The following is a 13,442-nucleotide window of genomic DNA, read 5'->3' on the forward strand; positions in this document are numbered from 1 at the left end:
GTCAACAATCTTCCTCCTCTTCCTGCCTATAAAGTGAACTCAAGGGTTGCGTTCCACTGCCTTTCACAGCATCATCAGGCTGGAGCTCGGGAGGCCCGCCACTGCTGCTCGGCTTCCATTATGAGCGACTGTCACACACAGAGATCACAACGGCAGTTTCATCTGCTGCAGGGAGATGAGGAGACTGAAAGGCTTCCTTGTTGCTGAAAATATCTGTACTTAAAGAAGCTGCTGGGAAAAGGAACAACCCCTCGGCTGCCCGCTTACTCAACAGCAGAGAGCTGACGGGCTCAACAGTGAAGGCAGAGCCCTCACTTCCTGCTAACAATCATGGCGTTTAGGAGAAATGAACCAGTATTTTCTGTTTCCAGAATCAACAACATTAGAAGCTGCAGCCCTAACTGAATTCTCTCCACCTGGCAAATACAAGTGTGCAAACAGGCCAGGTAGCCCACTATCCACCTTCCCTCCACTCTGTTCCTCACTTGATATAACACTGGAGAGAGGAAAACAACGGCAAGAGAAGACAGTGTTTCCAGCAAGCACATGGTTATTCTCCAAAGGCCAGTCTGGCCAATGTCAACATTCTCAAGAATTTGGCTGCAAACTGTAAGGGAAGAACAGAGAAAGGAGGAAAGAGATGGATATCTACCCCTTTTTTTTTTTTGGTAGAGATGAGGTCTCACTATGTTGCCCCAGCTGCTCTCAAACTACTAGCCTCAAACAATCCTCCTGCCTTGGCCTCCCAAAGTGCTGGGATTACAGGTGTGAGCTACCACAACCAGCCAAGTATCTAGCTTTATTAAGGATTACTAACAAAATAATATCTGGCATCAGAAGCTGAAATCAATATTCAATTTACTTAAAGAGAACTTAAAATATAAAGACATTTAATACTATTTGCCTATATTAATTAATTTTTAAATTAGCATAGAATAACTTCCAAATACGCAGAGTTTTGTGTGTTATCACAACACTCAACTAAAACTTCATCTAGATAGAAGAAGTACAATTTATTTTTGGGGAAAATACAGTAACAAGATAAATGCCAGCCCCAAAGACATCCTTTTACAACTGAGAGTAAAGAAACACGGGCCACCGATGAAAGTGAGAACATGTGAACATCAACTCTGGTCTACTCGCTTGGAGAACTTTATTGATTGATTGGCTGATTGAGACAGAGTGTTGCTCTGTCACCCAGGCTGGAGTGCAGTGGCACGATCTCAGTTCACTGCAGCCTCCTCCTCCCGGGTTCAAGCAATTTTCCTGCCTCAATCTCCTGAGTAGCTGGGATTACAGCCGCCCACCACCACACCTGGCTAACTTGTAATTTTTAGTAGAGACAGGGTTTCACCATGTTGATCAGGCTGGTCTTGAACTCCTGACCTCAGGTGACCTGCTGCCTCAGCCTCCCAAAATGCTGGGATTACAGGTGTGAGCCACCGCACCCGGCCTCCTTGAGAACTTTCTTCCAGTTTCATTATCTGCAAGATTAAGGGCCAGTCACTAAGCTCCATTCCAACTGCATGAGATTCAGTGAGACAAAGCAGAGTGGTGACTGTCAGTCCCTGGTGGCTCTGACATCCTTTGCTATAGAGAACATTAAAAGGTGAGTCCCCTTCACAAAAACAACAAATGGGTAACACTGTGAGAAGATGGATGTGTTCATTCGTTTCACTAGAGTAACCTCCTTTTTACTATCTATATGTATTCCATAACATCATGTTGTATATCTTACATATACGCAGTAGGATTTGTTTTTTGTTTTTCTTTTTTAAAGTGAATCCCCAAGGAAATGGAGGATATATGGCAGGGAAATATCTTACTATTTGTTCCCTGCCTGATATTTATGCTTGCTTGGATATAAAAATCACAGTTCTAGCACATAAATGGGATATTAGAAAACAGAACACAAACATAAAGAAACAGGTTATTTTGCCTATCAGCACTTTGTTTACTTAGGCTTATAAAGTGTGTTCACATTCACTTCATCTAACTATAAAAGAAGTGACTCCTACCTCTTTGCAGAGATGAAGAAGGAGAGACAGAGCAAGGCTGTGAAGGGCCTAAGCTCTCAAACCCAAGACAGGGCAGAAGCAAGACACGACTCCTGCTCTGCTGGCACCGAGTGCTCCTGTCCTGACGTGGGAGCTACTGGTCTCTAGGGGGCAGCACTCACCTCACTAACAAGGTGACAGCACCTGCAACCACTGGAGAAGCAACACTGGTCCCTGAGAGGGCCCGGCACCCCCCTTTCACGCCAGAACCCCGCACGCCAGCACCATAGGTGACAATGTCAGGTTTCATGCGACCGTAGCCTCCTGGTAGCTCCTATGAATAAAAGCAGCTTGGTTGCTACATCTCGCACATTGGCATACAGCCGCATGCAATCATGAGTGAATCAAATCAGAACAGAGATATGGGTTAGTTAAAAACTGTATAACCTTAGGAAGGTACTGGTTTTAGTCTGAAATTCACTCCAGGCCAGGCGCAAGGCTCACACCTGTAATCCCAACACTCTGGGAGGCCGAGGCAGGTGGACTGCTTGAGCCCAGGAGTTCCAGACTAGCCTGGGCTACACAGTAAGACCCCCATCTCCACAAAAAATACAAAAATTAGCCAGATGTAGTGGCACAAGCCTGTAGTCCCGGCTACTCAGGAGGATCACCTGAGCCCGGGAGGTCAAGGCTGCAGGGAGCCGTGATTGTGCCACTGCACTCCAGCCTGGGCAACACAGTGAGATCCTGTCCCCCTCAGCCCCGCACCCGCCCCCCCCCCAAAAAAAAAGAGAAAAAAACAAAGAAATTCACTACAATACAGAAAATAAGCTTAAACGATAATGTAGAAAGTAAATTTTTAAAAATATATTTTATAACAACCAGAACAATGGCAAAGGCATAAAGCAATTAAAAGATAAGTATTTTAATTTTGCTGACATGCCAGACTGGAAAGTGGACACTGGCTTATCACCAAGACCAGAAACTGGAAACTGCTTTATCTCTAGATAAGTTAAAATTAGAAATATGTTAGAAAAATTAGAAAATTAAAATGTAAAAAAACCCAAACATGTTTCTTTACAAGGAAAAAAGTACACGGTATGAGTGGATGTTTCAAACGGTTGTAAAAGAGGAAATAAGAAACCACTGAGAAGGAACAAGATAACCACACGACTAACTTGGGATAACGTTTTAATAAGTACTTGCTTAAGCTTCTTAAGAATTGGGGCAAAACGAAAATTAGAATAGGATCTCATATTCTGTCAGAAAACAGGAGCCCAATTTGAAGGGAAGCCCTTTTCTGACCATCAAACCCAAGGACCATGGATGCACATACTGGGATACCGAGTAAAGGCATCCTCCACTGCAGCTGTGATGATGGAAGGACATTTCTCAAATGCCATTAAAAAGCTGGCTGGTGATGAAGGCCATGGACGTGACATCTCATCACGGTTTGGTGAAAGCGTTTACACGGGGAGCTGGGGACAAAGTGGATGACATCTCACCACAGTTCGGTGAGAGCATTTACACAGGGAGCTGGGGACAAAGTGGTGGATGCAGTTTCCCATTATCCGGCAGCACAAGGAACATGCTGAGGGAGCGTGGATGGGAGGACACGCAGCCTGCCCTGCACAGACTGTCACATGAGAGAATGGTCCCCAGCCAACAGGTCAGCTCCAGGAAGAGGCACGTGAGTGTGGGAGGCGGGGACCCCTGGTGGGGCTGAGTGGCGGGGACGCTGGGGGCTGACGCTGTCACAGGACAAAGGCTCAGGCAGAAGGCTATCCTGTAAAGTGGCTACAGTGTGGACGAGGCCCACAGTGTTCCCAGGCAGTTGGGAATCTTTCCAGGGACTTATCTGAGGCCTCCGAGTGTGGCATGTGACGTTAAACACCAAGAGATGCTCTGACCCTGAAGAATGAGAAGGGCAGATGCTCCCCTCGGCCACAGCGAGGGCAAAGGTGCCCAACTGCTGTTCTGCACGAGCGTCTAATTTTTCATCAAACTTTGACAGGTAAAGGTGGGTGAATGTGCTGCATAATTAAACCCCAAACAGCTGAATTATTAACTGTAGCAGTTATTTTGAATTTGTCCAGCTAAATACAATTGTTTCTGTGTTAGCAGAGTTGATATTAAGCTGTTCTCAATGGTTTCTCCAACTTCTTAAGGCTCCCCTCCCCCAAAAAATATCATCTCACCTACCACTGAGGAGGACTGCTTACCACTACTAGATAGGGTAAACGGGCAGGAACCCAATTCACCTAAAGGTGAGTTCCTCAGAAATCAATTAATAAGTTAAACTGGGAAACACCGCTTAGAATCAGCCGGTGCTCATCACAGCAGCTGTGGACTTGCCAGAGTGAAGTGGCAGATGCTGACGGGGCCCAGATCTCTCGTCCTCACGGCTGGGCAGGCACTCACAGCCCCGGCTATTCCCATGTGAATGTGAGGGTGTCTGTGCACTTACAAATACACCCCAAGGCTCGTCAACAACCGGTGCCACTAGCCACAGTAGTTTGTCCAGCTAAATACAATTATTTAGCAAAGAAGAGCGTACCCAGGTAGTCATTCCCCTTGAAGAAAAGCGGGCGATGTTATCTTCAAAGTCAATGCCGCCTACTCCAATCACATCCATTTGATCAGCAGGGTTATTCAGAGTGCTATATTGAGACCAAAAAAAAAAAAAAAGAAAAGAAAAAGAAAAAAACAAGAGAAATAATTTAAAATGGATGATTCAAACCAGGGCGAATACTCCCAGAACAATCTAACACTGTATGAGCTGCTTCTGTGGGAAGACGTGTGCAGCTCCTCACGGCTGTCCTGTGAAACGCATGATCCTGCCACGTTCATGCTGTGCTCACATTACGCCCTCTCACCTGCAACGCCCCTCCTTTCTTCTCCTCCCTGTCAACTTGGCACACTGGGGCTCAAGGCTCACGTTTTCCCTCCAGCAATCCAAGCCTTAAGCATCTGTACTTGCCTTGAACCTCACAACACTTAACACAATCACAATTTATCACCTAACGACACATTCTCACATCACTTTCAAATTGTTCCCAGCACATTCATCTTAACTCCCCAGCTAAATCACACACTTCTCCTGGAAGAAACCATAACCACACATTTACATCTGCCAAGGTCAGGAAGTGGTAAGTTTTCGATTGACCTGTGGTGGTGTTCTACCCTCCTCATAGGGAACTGTAGAAGGACTATCATTACTCTGTAATCTTGAGCTCCTTAGAGTCTCTCCAATACCTTAAGTGCACTAGATCTGCAAAGAAATTATAGTGAAATAAATAATGGCAAAAATGTGTAAACCGTAAAGTCAAGATAAAGATGAACCATTTGAAAATATGAGACACTCAGTTATAAAACTGCATTGCTAAGCTTTATTATGGCTCCACTACCAAAAAAAATGAACTCTTTGACAAATCAACAACTACATACAACTGATTCCAAGTGGCTTAAGAGATAATAGCAGCATGAAGTTCTCCTTCTAGAGTGTGTTTTTAACTGACAATTCCCAACACACCGAGAAAAAGTGGTACTGCCTCCTCAGCCCACTGGCCACCAATATCCTACCAGCTGGTCATTCAGAGGAACGAATAATGATTTTCTGATGACTGATGCTAGATGTTTACACATTCCCAGGAACTCAAGGAGCAGAGGCTGGTACAGAAGTCACTGACAGAAACTCCCACTGAAGTTGACCAAAAAAATACCACCTTCCCACCCTCCTCTACCTGCTAAGCCCTATAATGCTTAGTGTACTTTAAACCCTTAAAAAATAAGGGAACGCATCAAGAAATCATTGCTGGTATTGAAAAGGAGGGACGTGAGGCTGCAGGCTTGCTGGCACCACAGAGTCTAGGAGCACCAAGGGCACAGGACCCAGACAAAGAGACCACAGCAAAGGGGACCGGAGGATGTGTGCCTCATTCCCAGAGGGGCTGACGTATGCATGTTACTGTCCTCAGACCAGCCCTGGAAGCAGTCCCACCAGATGCCCAAGCAGAAAAAACCACACCCACCACAAGCTGGGCTGCCGTGATCACATGCCACGTTCTGTCACTTCAACAGCCAGCAGGTGGCCAGGTCTGTGTGAGGCAGCATGAGCGTACACACAAGGTGGAGATGGGGCCTTCCTGGCAAGGCTCTGCTCCTTCAACACACCATAAACTCACAACTCTGGTAAGAAGCTACGGAGTGCAACCACCCACAAAAGCCACAGGGTTTCAGAACGGCAGCCAGCGTGTGACAAAACAGTCCGAACAGCATGCGAAAGAGCTGGGAATCCAGACAGGTATGGCCAGGAGGATGGGCAGAGGGATGGGGTGCGGAAGACCTGAGAGAAACAGAAGGAGGACACTCATTCCAGGAAGGTGTACATGGGGAAGTGGAAGATCAAGGTGAACTGAGATTGTGGCTGGAGTTGGCCAACTACGGCCCATGGGCCAAACCAGGCCCACACCTGTTTTTGCAAATACAGCGTTCCTGGAACACAGTCATGTTCATTTACACATATATCACCCGCAGCTGCTTTCACACAATAACGCCTAAAATATTTATTATCTGACCCTTTACAGAAAAAGTTTGCAATTCAGCCTAGAATACTGAAGACCTTGAAAAACAAAAGAAAAATGTGGATTTCATCTATTAGGCAATAATAAACTGCTGCAGATTCTTGATTAGAAAACTGCTACAATATATGTTTGAACAGTAGAAATACGCACAAAAAAGAAAAAGAGCAGCTTCCATTCAAAGAGCATCATCAGCATTCATGGTGCTCTCCCCCTGCTGTCTGATTTCAGTCTCATAGGTACTCTGCAGGCTGCTCTCTACTCCCATCACAGGTGAGGGAGCTGAGGCTCAGAGAAGTGACGGTGCCTCAGCCGTAAGTGGCAGGTCGGACCTGTCTGCTTCCACACCTAGTTTCACCCATGTCCATGCTGGAAGAGCTGGGGTGGGAAAAGACTCAAGATTGGAAAACAGGCTAGGAAACACTGACACCTGGTGACTCTGAACCGATGAGTGCCAGCCTTGAGTGGGGACATCAGAAATGGGAGGAACATTTAAAAGGGAGACAAGAACACCTGACGAGATGACTTAATAACTGGTGTTTGTCATGGCAGAGCTATAGCGAGGGTATGTTCATGCCACTTACATCTATGGCTCATGATACGTATCACTGATGCGACAGCAAAATCCAGAACCCTGGACCTCTAACAAGGTTCACGATCATTTACTCAACTATTAGGCTAGAGTCCTATGAATGCCAATATTCACGTTTTCTGATATGCAAACATGAACTTCACATAGCTTCACCTTGTCTTATGCCCTGGATTTGTGTAAAGCATCCTACAGAAACTTCGAGCACAAGAAATGACTTATAAACATTATCTAGAGAATAAAATGAAGCTGCTGGTGGAAAGAAAACTGAGACCTCTAACCAGACAGGAGCGTACTGGCTGGGATTCAGTGGCAAATGTTTCGCATCTCACGCTGCTTAAGTTTAGCACAAAGGCCCCCCTGTGACACTGTCCTCCCTGCCTCCCTCCTAAATGATCCCTCTCATCAACTCCCAAAGCACCGGCCATGTTGCCGTTAGGCCCGCCAGCACTTCCCCTGTGAATGAGTGTCACTGTGCTCGCACCTGCTCTTTCAGAGAGAGGCAGAAACCTCTTCCGTTTGCCTCTTTACCCGGATGCTTTGCACACAGATCTCATCAACACTGCAGAATCCCTAATAGATTCACTTTTCTGATTGATTTTTGGGGAAAAAAAGTAGTTAGAATAAAAACTTTAGGCCTCTAAATTACTATTTGTAACAAAATTTTAAAAATATATAAATAGAAGGAAGACCGGCCTTGAGGTGACAACTGCTGAGGTGAGTGGTGAGTACCTGGGTGTTCATCTACATCCTATAGTATTTTTTTACATGAGGAAAACATCCTTAAGACAAGTTTTAGACAGACATAAACAAGTAACCATAGGTAGATACACAAACAGATAACAATTTTTCAGTTATTTAAGGGGGAAAAAATCCCCGAGGTCATCCCTGCTGGGGCTACTTACCCATAAAGAGGTCCGTCATTGCCAATAGCAGAAACCATGATTACATTGTTAGCTGTTAATTCCCACACCTACAAAAGGAGCATTTATTTAATGAAAGTATCCCTTTCATTAAACATATAACTGTCAAAAAAAAAAAAAAAACCATACACAACGTCTAAAAACAGTTCTAAAAAAGCAGCACTGGCCCATTATAAAGGCGGATGTGCTGGCAACTTGCATTTTTAGAGGATACCACCCGGGACGGAGAAGCACGCAGTGCACAGAGCAGATGCTGACTTTCTAGTCACTTTGAGGAAAACACGAATTGCATGTTTAGGTAAGAAAGAATTGGCAGGGCATGGTGGCTCACGCCTGTAATCCCAGCACTTTGAAAGGCTGAGGTGGGTGGATCACCTGAGGTCAGGAGTTGGAGACCAGCCTGGCCAATTCGGTGAAACCCCGTCTCTACTAAAAATAGCAAAATTAGCCGGGCATGGTGGTGTGCACCTGTAATCCCGGCTACTTGGGAGGCTGAGGCAGGAGAACCGCTTGAACCTGGGAGGCGGAGGTTGCAGTGAGCCAAGACTGTGCCATTGTACTCCAGCCTGGCCAACAAGAATAAAACTCCATCTCAAAAAAAAAAAAAAAAAAAAAATCAGCAAGGCACCATGTGCTCCTTATCAACACCTACTCTGAGGCCTCTAACCCACTCAATTTATGACATGCAAATCACTGAAGCTCACGTCATTAGCCATCTGTTCTCACAAAGCTGTCACCACCTGGATGAAAAGCCACCAACACACTAGATATGATGCAAAGTTGGGCTGCGAAAGAGCAGGAGCTGTCACCCAAACCCCGTGTGCAGTGACTCCACAAACCTTGTCAACAAACGGATGATCCATGAAGTCCGGGCCGCCGATGCTGAGGTTTAACACGTCGATCTTCTTTAAAATGGCATAGTTGAAGGCGTCCAAAAACCAAGATGTGTAAGATACCTAGTTAAATATTATAACAGTCTGCTTAGTGTTTCAATCAAGTTTTAAAGTGCTAGGACAGTTTTTATTTCTAAGGCTCTTTTAAAATTACAAGTAGTTCTCTTAATTTTTTTTTACTTAAAACCAGAAATGAATCCTGAGCATGCATAATGCTCTGGAGAGTAAAATACAACACGTAGAAGTTCTAAGTCCTTGGAGCTGAACCTAAGGAAGAGGCAGCTGTGTTCTGCAGGTGGCCTATCTCTCTAGGTGAAATGCACAGCTCTCTACACAAAGAATGCCTTCCTAGATAACACCCAAGCTCCCAACCGCCCCTCTCCTACAAAAGGACTTATCCCAAGGCACTTCTATTAAGTTAAGCATTTTGGAATAGTTCAACTTATCTATCTAACCTTCTTCATTCCTAAACAGACTGAAGGACAAATGGCAGCAGTAACAGTTATTTCACAGTATTAGTCTTCTGATGTTCAAGTGCTCCTATGTTCCTTACAAAAGCTTCATTACTTTGTGGATCACCTTTAGCTGTTGCTTTTTTAAAAAATATAAAATTAAGTTTATGGTAGGAAGAGAAGCAATGTAATGATTAAGATTATGTTTTTAAAGGTTTTTAAAAGACCAGGTACTTATATTTTCTCATATACACCAAAGAAATTCTACGAGGAGGTATAAGAAAGGAACATCATCACACAGGACACACGGGCCAGTGAGGAAAGAACCTGCTGGACGGGGACAGGGGTGGGGGTCTCACTGTGTTACCTTCTGACATTTCTGAGCTATGCATTACCTATTCAAAAATTAACCTTAAAAAATAAATAACGAAAAAAGAAACAAATACTAGGACCCTCTCCCTTTTCTATAGTTTCCAAATGAAGAGTGAAGGAACAAGGCTTGTAAACTCCCATTACCCAACACAATGCCAGGTGTCGGGACACAGAGGTAAATAAAACAGCTCAAGGTGGTAGGAACCCAATCAGGGAGGCAAGCACACTTATTCTATCTGCAATTGTTCTGTTCTATCATGCAGACAACCGACCCAGGGTACAGAGGCCTGGGGAAGCCTGGAGGTAGAGAAGAAACAAGGGAAATCAAAGAATCGTCGTAAGTAGTAGCCTCGGCAGGGTCTTCAGGGTTCAACTTAGGTCGACACAGTGGTTGGTGGGAGAAGGGCGGAGCCACCCAGGAGGCAGAGGAACAGTAAACTGAGCATGCGTGCTGCAGTATGAATGGCTCAGCGTCACTGACGTGCACTCCTTTTACACAAGTGTGTACAGTCCAGTGATTCTGCTTTTTACATTTCAGTATGAATTCCTCAAGTTTCAGGAGTCCTCAAAACACCTACCTGATTATTGGTAAAGACCCTGAAAATGTGAAGTTCTGCATCTGGAGCAAATCCTTGGCACTCCCTCATGCTGGCTATCACACCTGCCACGAATGTGCCATGGCCCAACCCTGCAGTCCATAAAGAAAACAATCCCATAAAACACACTGAATAGCAAGTGCCAGGACGCAACATTCCAGGCCATGAGTTCCACGGCCTTCCATTTCCAAGTGCTGGATAGAGGAGGGCCTCTGCTGCTGCTCTACGATCCCCTTAGACGTCACTGGCACAAGCACCCCTTCCAGGTCTAGCCACTCCACGCTCTCCGGGACAGGGAGCTGCCCCCACACCAGGCATGCCCACTCTCTCCTGAAGTGCTACCTCCCGACATCCTATGAGGTATTCAGAGCAGTTTCTGCCACAACAAAAAGCACAATAACACCTTGGGCTTGTCTGAATAATTGCTGGACAGACTGTGGAATCATGCACTAAACACACTCTCAGTCGATCACATGACCACGTTCTCACTGCTGCTGAGACCCACCATCGTCCAGCGTTCGCTCGTTGGTCCAGTTGGTTCTCTCCTTCACATTTTTGAAGTGGGGATGCTTCTCGCTCAGCCCAGTGTCAAAAACAGCAACTCTTACATTAGCACCTTATTCGGAAAAGAAAGCAAACACAATTATGTTTGAAGAAATCATCATTTTGGATTTTGCCTATAAAATACATTCCTTCCTGGGACCCACAGAAAATGACATATTGTGGAAGGCCAAAGCTGCTCAGAGCAAATAAGTTAGGTCAGCTGCTCCCAGGGTCAGCTGGCTGAGCCAAGGCTAAGAAAAGAGGACAGCAGGAGCAATGCCATCATCTGCCGCCAAATAAGATTTAAGGATAAGCAGAAAATCCTTCTAGACCCTCCTCAATTGCCACCAGCACTCAGGATAGAACCACCCCTTCCACTCCTAGCGGGCTTCTCAAGGCTCCAGGCTGGCACCTACTGATACTCCCCTTCTGGCAATTTATCACAGGTCTCCACCCCCCACCTTCTCGGAGGCCCTGCAAAACACTCACAAACCACACACCCAAGGAGCGGGACACAAAAATGGGAAAAGGGGGAACCATTCCTATTCCCAATAAGGACAGCAATTTATTCAATGCTGCTCATTTATAATACAGCAAACTCTGCCGCAAGGAACAATTAACACCACATGCGGCTAATCACACCTAAGAAAAATCACTGCAGTGTGCACTTTTCTATAATAGTAAGTCTATTCCAGATACTGGCCAAAGCCATCAACACCAATGTGAAATACAACTGGCCTGTCTGACCAAAAATTCTAGAAAGCATCTAGAAAAAAAATACAGAATACCTATATGACTTAACAGCTAACCAATGTAAAGAGGGTAATGTCTTTCTGGCAAAAGGGCTGTGTACATATCAATACTATGTTAAATAATCTATTAAACTGAGATAAATATAAAAATCAATGCTACTTTTAAAAAATGCACACACAAAATCAGAAATCATTTGGTTTGGGGGGAATAAAAAATTATTTCTCATGACTAGAAAATTTGTTTTGTCAAGGAGTTCTCATAAAAAGGTAAAACCATGGGGAGACACACATTTTAATGAAATGCCAGTCCACCGGGTATTAAAAGTTGAAGTATCTCAGATATTTTGGAGGGCAGGGCGCCAAGGAGATCAAAGGAGAGGTAAGGGTCCCTAAGTCAAGGATATACGAAAGACACCGAGGCAAACTGCGCTGTCCTGGGAGCAGGTGAAACTGGCTTACATTTAGAAGTCAAGGTAAAAATCTTCACATTAGATAAAACATGAAGGTTTGGTCATGATGAATCAGCAAGGGAAAAATCCTTATTGTTCTGAATTTTATTTCACAGGACATGATCATTAACACTGCTTCCTGTTCTGAAACAAATCATCAGCAGGTGTGATAGTCAATTACTTAGTCACTCTGCATTCAGGACACCAAACTCAAGTGATAAACTAATTTCCGTGGAATTGCCCAGATCAGGGACCATCTTTCCCCAAGAAGTGACAGACTTCTGCAGGCCTGTCGGTCAGCGCCAGTGGCCGGCAGCGCTGTGCTCGTTTGTGTATGTGTCAATAGGAGAGAAGTGCTCCACAGCCTTCCCTTCTAACCTCAGAAATGGTAACAAAAATAAGACACAAATGGTGACAATTAGGAAAGCCACAGAAACAGATGCCTGGCATCACAGGAGTCAAAGATGAGGAGTACTTGGCTACCTCCAGCTAAACAAATAGTAAGAAGGTTAGATGTGGAAGGCTGCAGGGCTTTAGCACTAGGCAGTCCCGAACATGGAATTCCTGCATGTCTGGACTTTCCGCGCCTTCCCTGGGTAATAGCACACACCTGTATATCCCATAAGCACCTTCCCTGGGTAATAGCACACACCTGTATATCCCATCTGCCAGAGCACATCTGCCTGCAGTGTCTGGGCAACCTGGCGCGGGATGGCTCTCAGCAGCCGTCTGCTCGAATGCCTTCCCGTAGCATGCCAGAAGCCAGAGCCCAGGGAGAGGCTGGCTCTTCGCAGGGGACGTGATGATTGCCACTTCTGGCTCCACCGGGTTTCATTGCAGGGTACTGTGGGGTCAGCTACAGGCAAGGGAGAGAAAGATCAGAACAGAAGAGCAAAACGAACTACACGATACCCGCCAGGCAAAACTATCCTAAACACAGGGAGGATTACCATTTGCCACTCTGTTTGAAGGAAAGTGGGATTATCTTCTTTTTCTGGAAGGACAGTCTCAATGCAATTATAATTATAGGACGTTATTTAGCTGTCATATTACTCCCAAATAGTTCTCTACTTGAAATTTTCTAACCAAGGTAAGGCAAAGAAAGACTGATTAAATTAAATAATAATAATTTTAAAAAGCTAATTGTGATAATAAAAATAAAGAAAAACCTGATTTTCATCAGCAACTTGTTCTCACTGAACCAGAAGGGGGAAAAGTTAAAGAAAATGACCCTAAGCATTCATTGAGTTTTATTTTTACTATAAGTTTCACTAGATTTCTTGGGCAGGCAAAAGC

At 44.9% G+C, this 13,442-nt stretch overlaps 1 protein-coding gene across 3 annotated transcripts in view, besides 2 other annotated features; it reads right to left on the reverse strand.

Moving 5' to 3' along the window:
• Positions 1-13,442, reverse strand: part of MBTPS1 (membrane bound transcription factor peptidase, site 1) — a 63,180-nt gene that overhangs the window by 29,041 nt on the left and 20,697 nt on the right. For all 3 annotated transcript variants that reach the window (NM_003791.4, XM_047434831.1, XM_047434830.1), the window contains exons 4-10: positions 12,799-13,002; positions 10,908-11,018; positions 10,385-10,494; positions 8,929-9,045; positions 8,072-8,139; positions 4,555-4,657; positions 2,180-2,331 (exon numbers count right to left, since the gene is read on the reverse strand). In NM_003791.4, coding sequence (NP_003782.1) covers positions 2,180-2,331; positions 4,555-4,657; positions 8,072-8,139; positions 8,929-9,045; positions 10,385-10,494; positions 10,908-11,018; positions 12,799-13,002 — 865 coding nt within the window. The remainder of the gene's footprint in view (positions 1-2,179; positions 2,332-4,554; positions 4,658-8,071; positions 8,140-8,928; positions 9,046-10,384; positions 10,495-10,907; positions 11,019-12,798; positions 13,003-13,442) is intronic.
• Positions 2,128-2,177: a silencer, noted in NCBI's record as "silent region_7775". NCBI's record gives its function as "represses an Ori minimal core promoter by ATAC-STARR-seq in GM12878 lymphoblastoid cells {active_cell/tissue: GM12878}" and the evidence as "EXISTENCE:reporter gene assay evidence [ECO:0000049][PMID:35858748]".
• Positions 8,746-9,945: an enhancer, noted in NCBI's record as "CDK7 strongly-dependent group 2 enhancer chr16:84125154-84126353 (GRCh37/hg19 assembly coordinates)". NCBI's record gives its function as "activates an origin of replication core promoter dependent on BRD2, BRD4, P300/CBP, MED14 and CDK7 cofactors, with strong dependence on CDK7, by STARR-seq in HCT116 cells {active_cell/tissue: HCT116}" and the evidence as "EXISTENCE:reporter gene assay evidence [ECO:0000049][PMID:35650434]".

This window comes from Homo sapiens, chromosome 16 (assembly GCF_000001405.40).
Source record: "Homo sapiens chromosome 16, GRCh38.p14 Primary Assembly".
Lineage (NCBI taxonomy): Eukaryota > Metazoa > Chordata > Mammalia > Primates > Hominidae > Homo > Homo sapiens.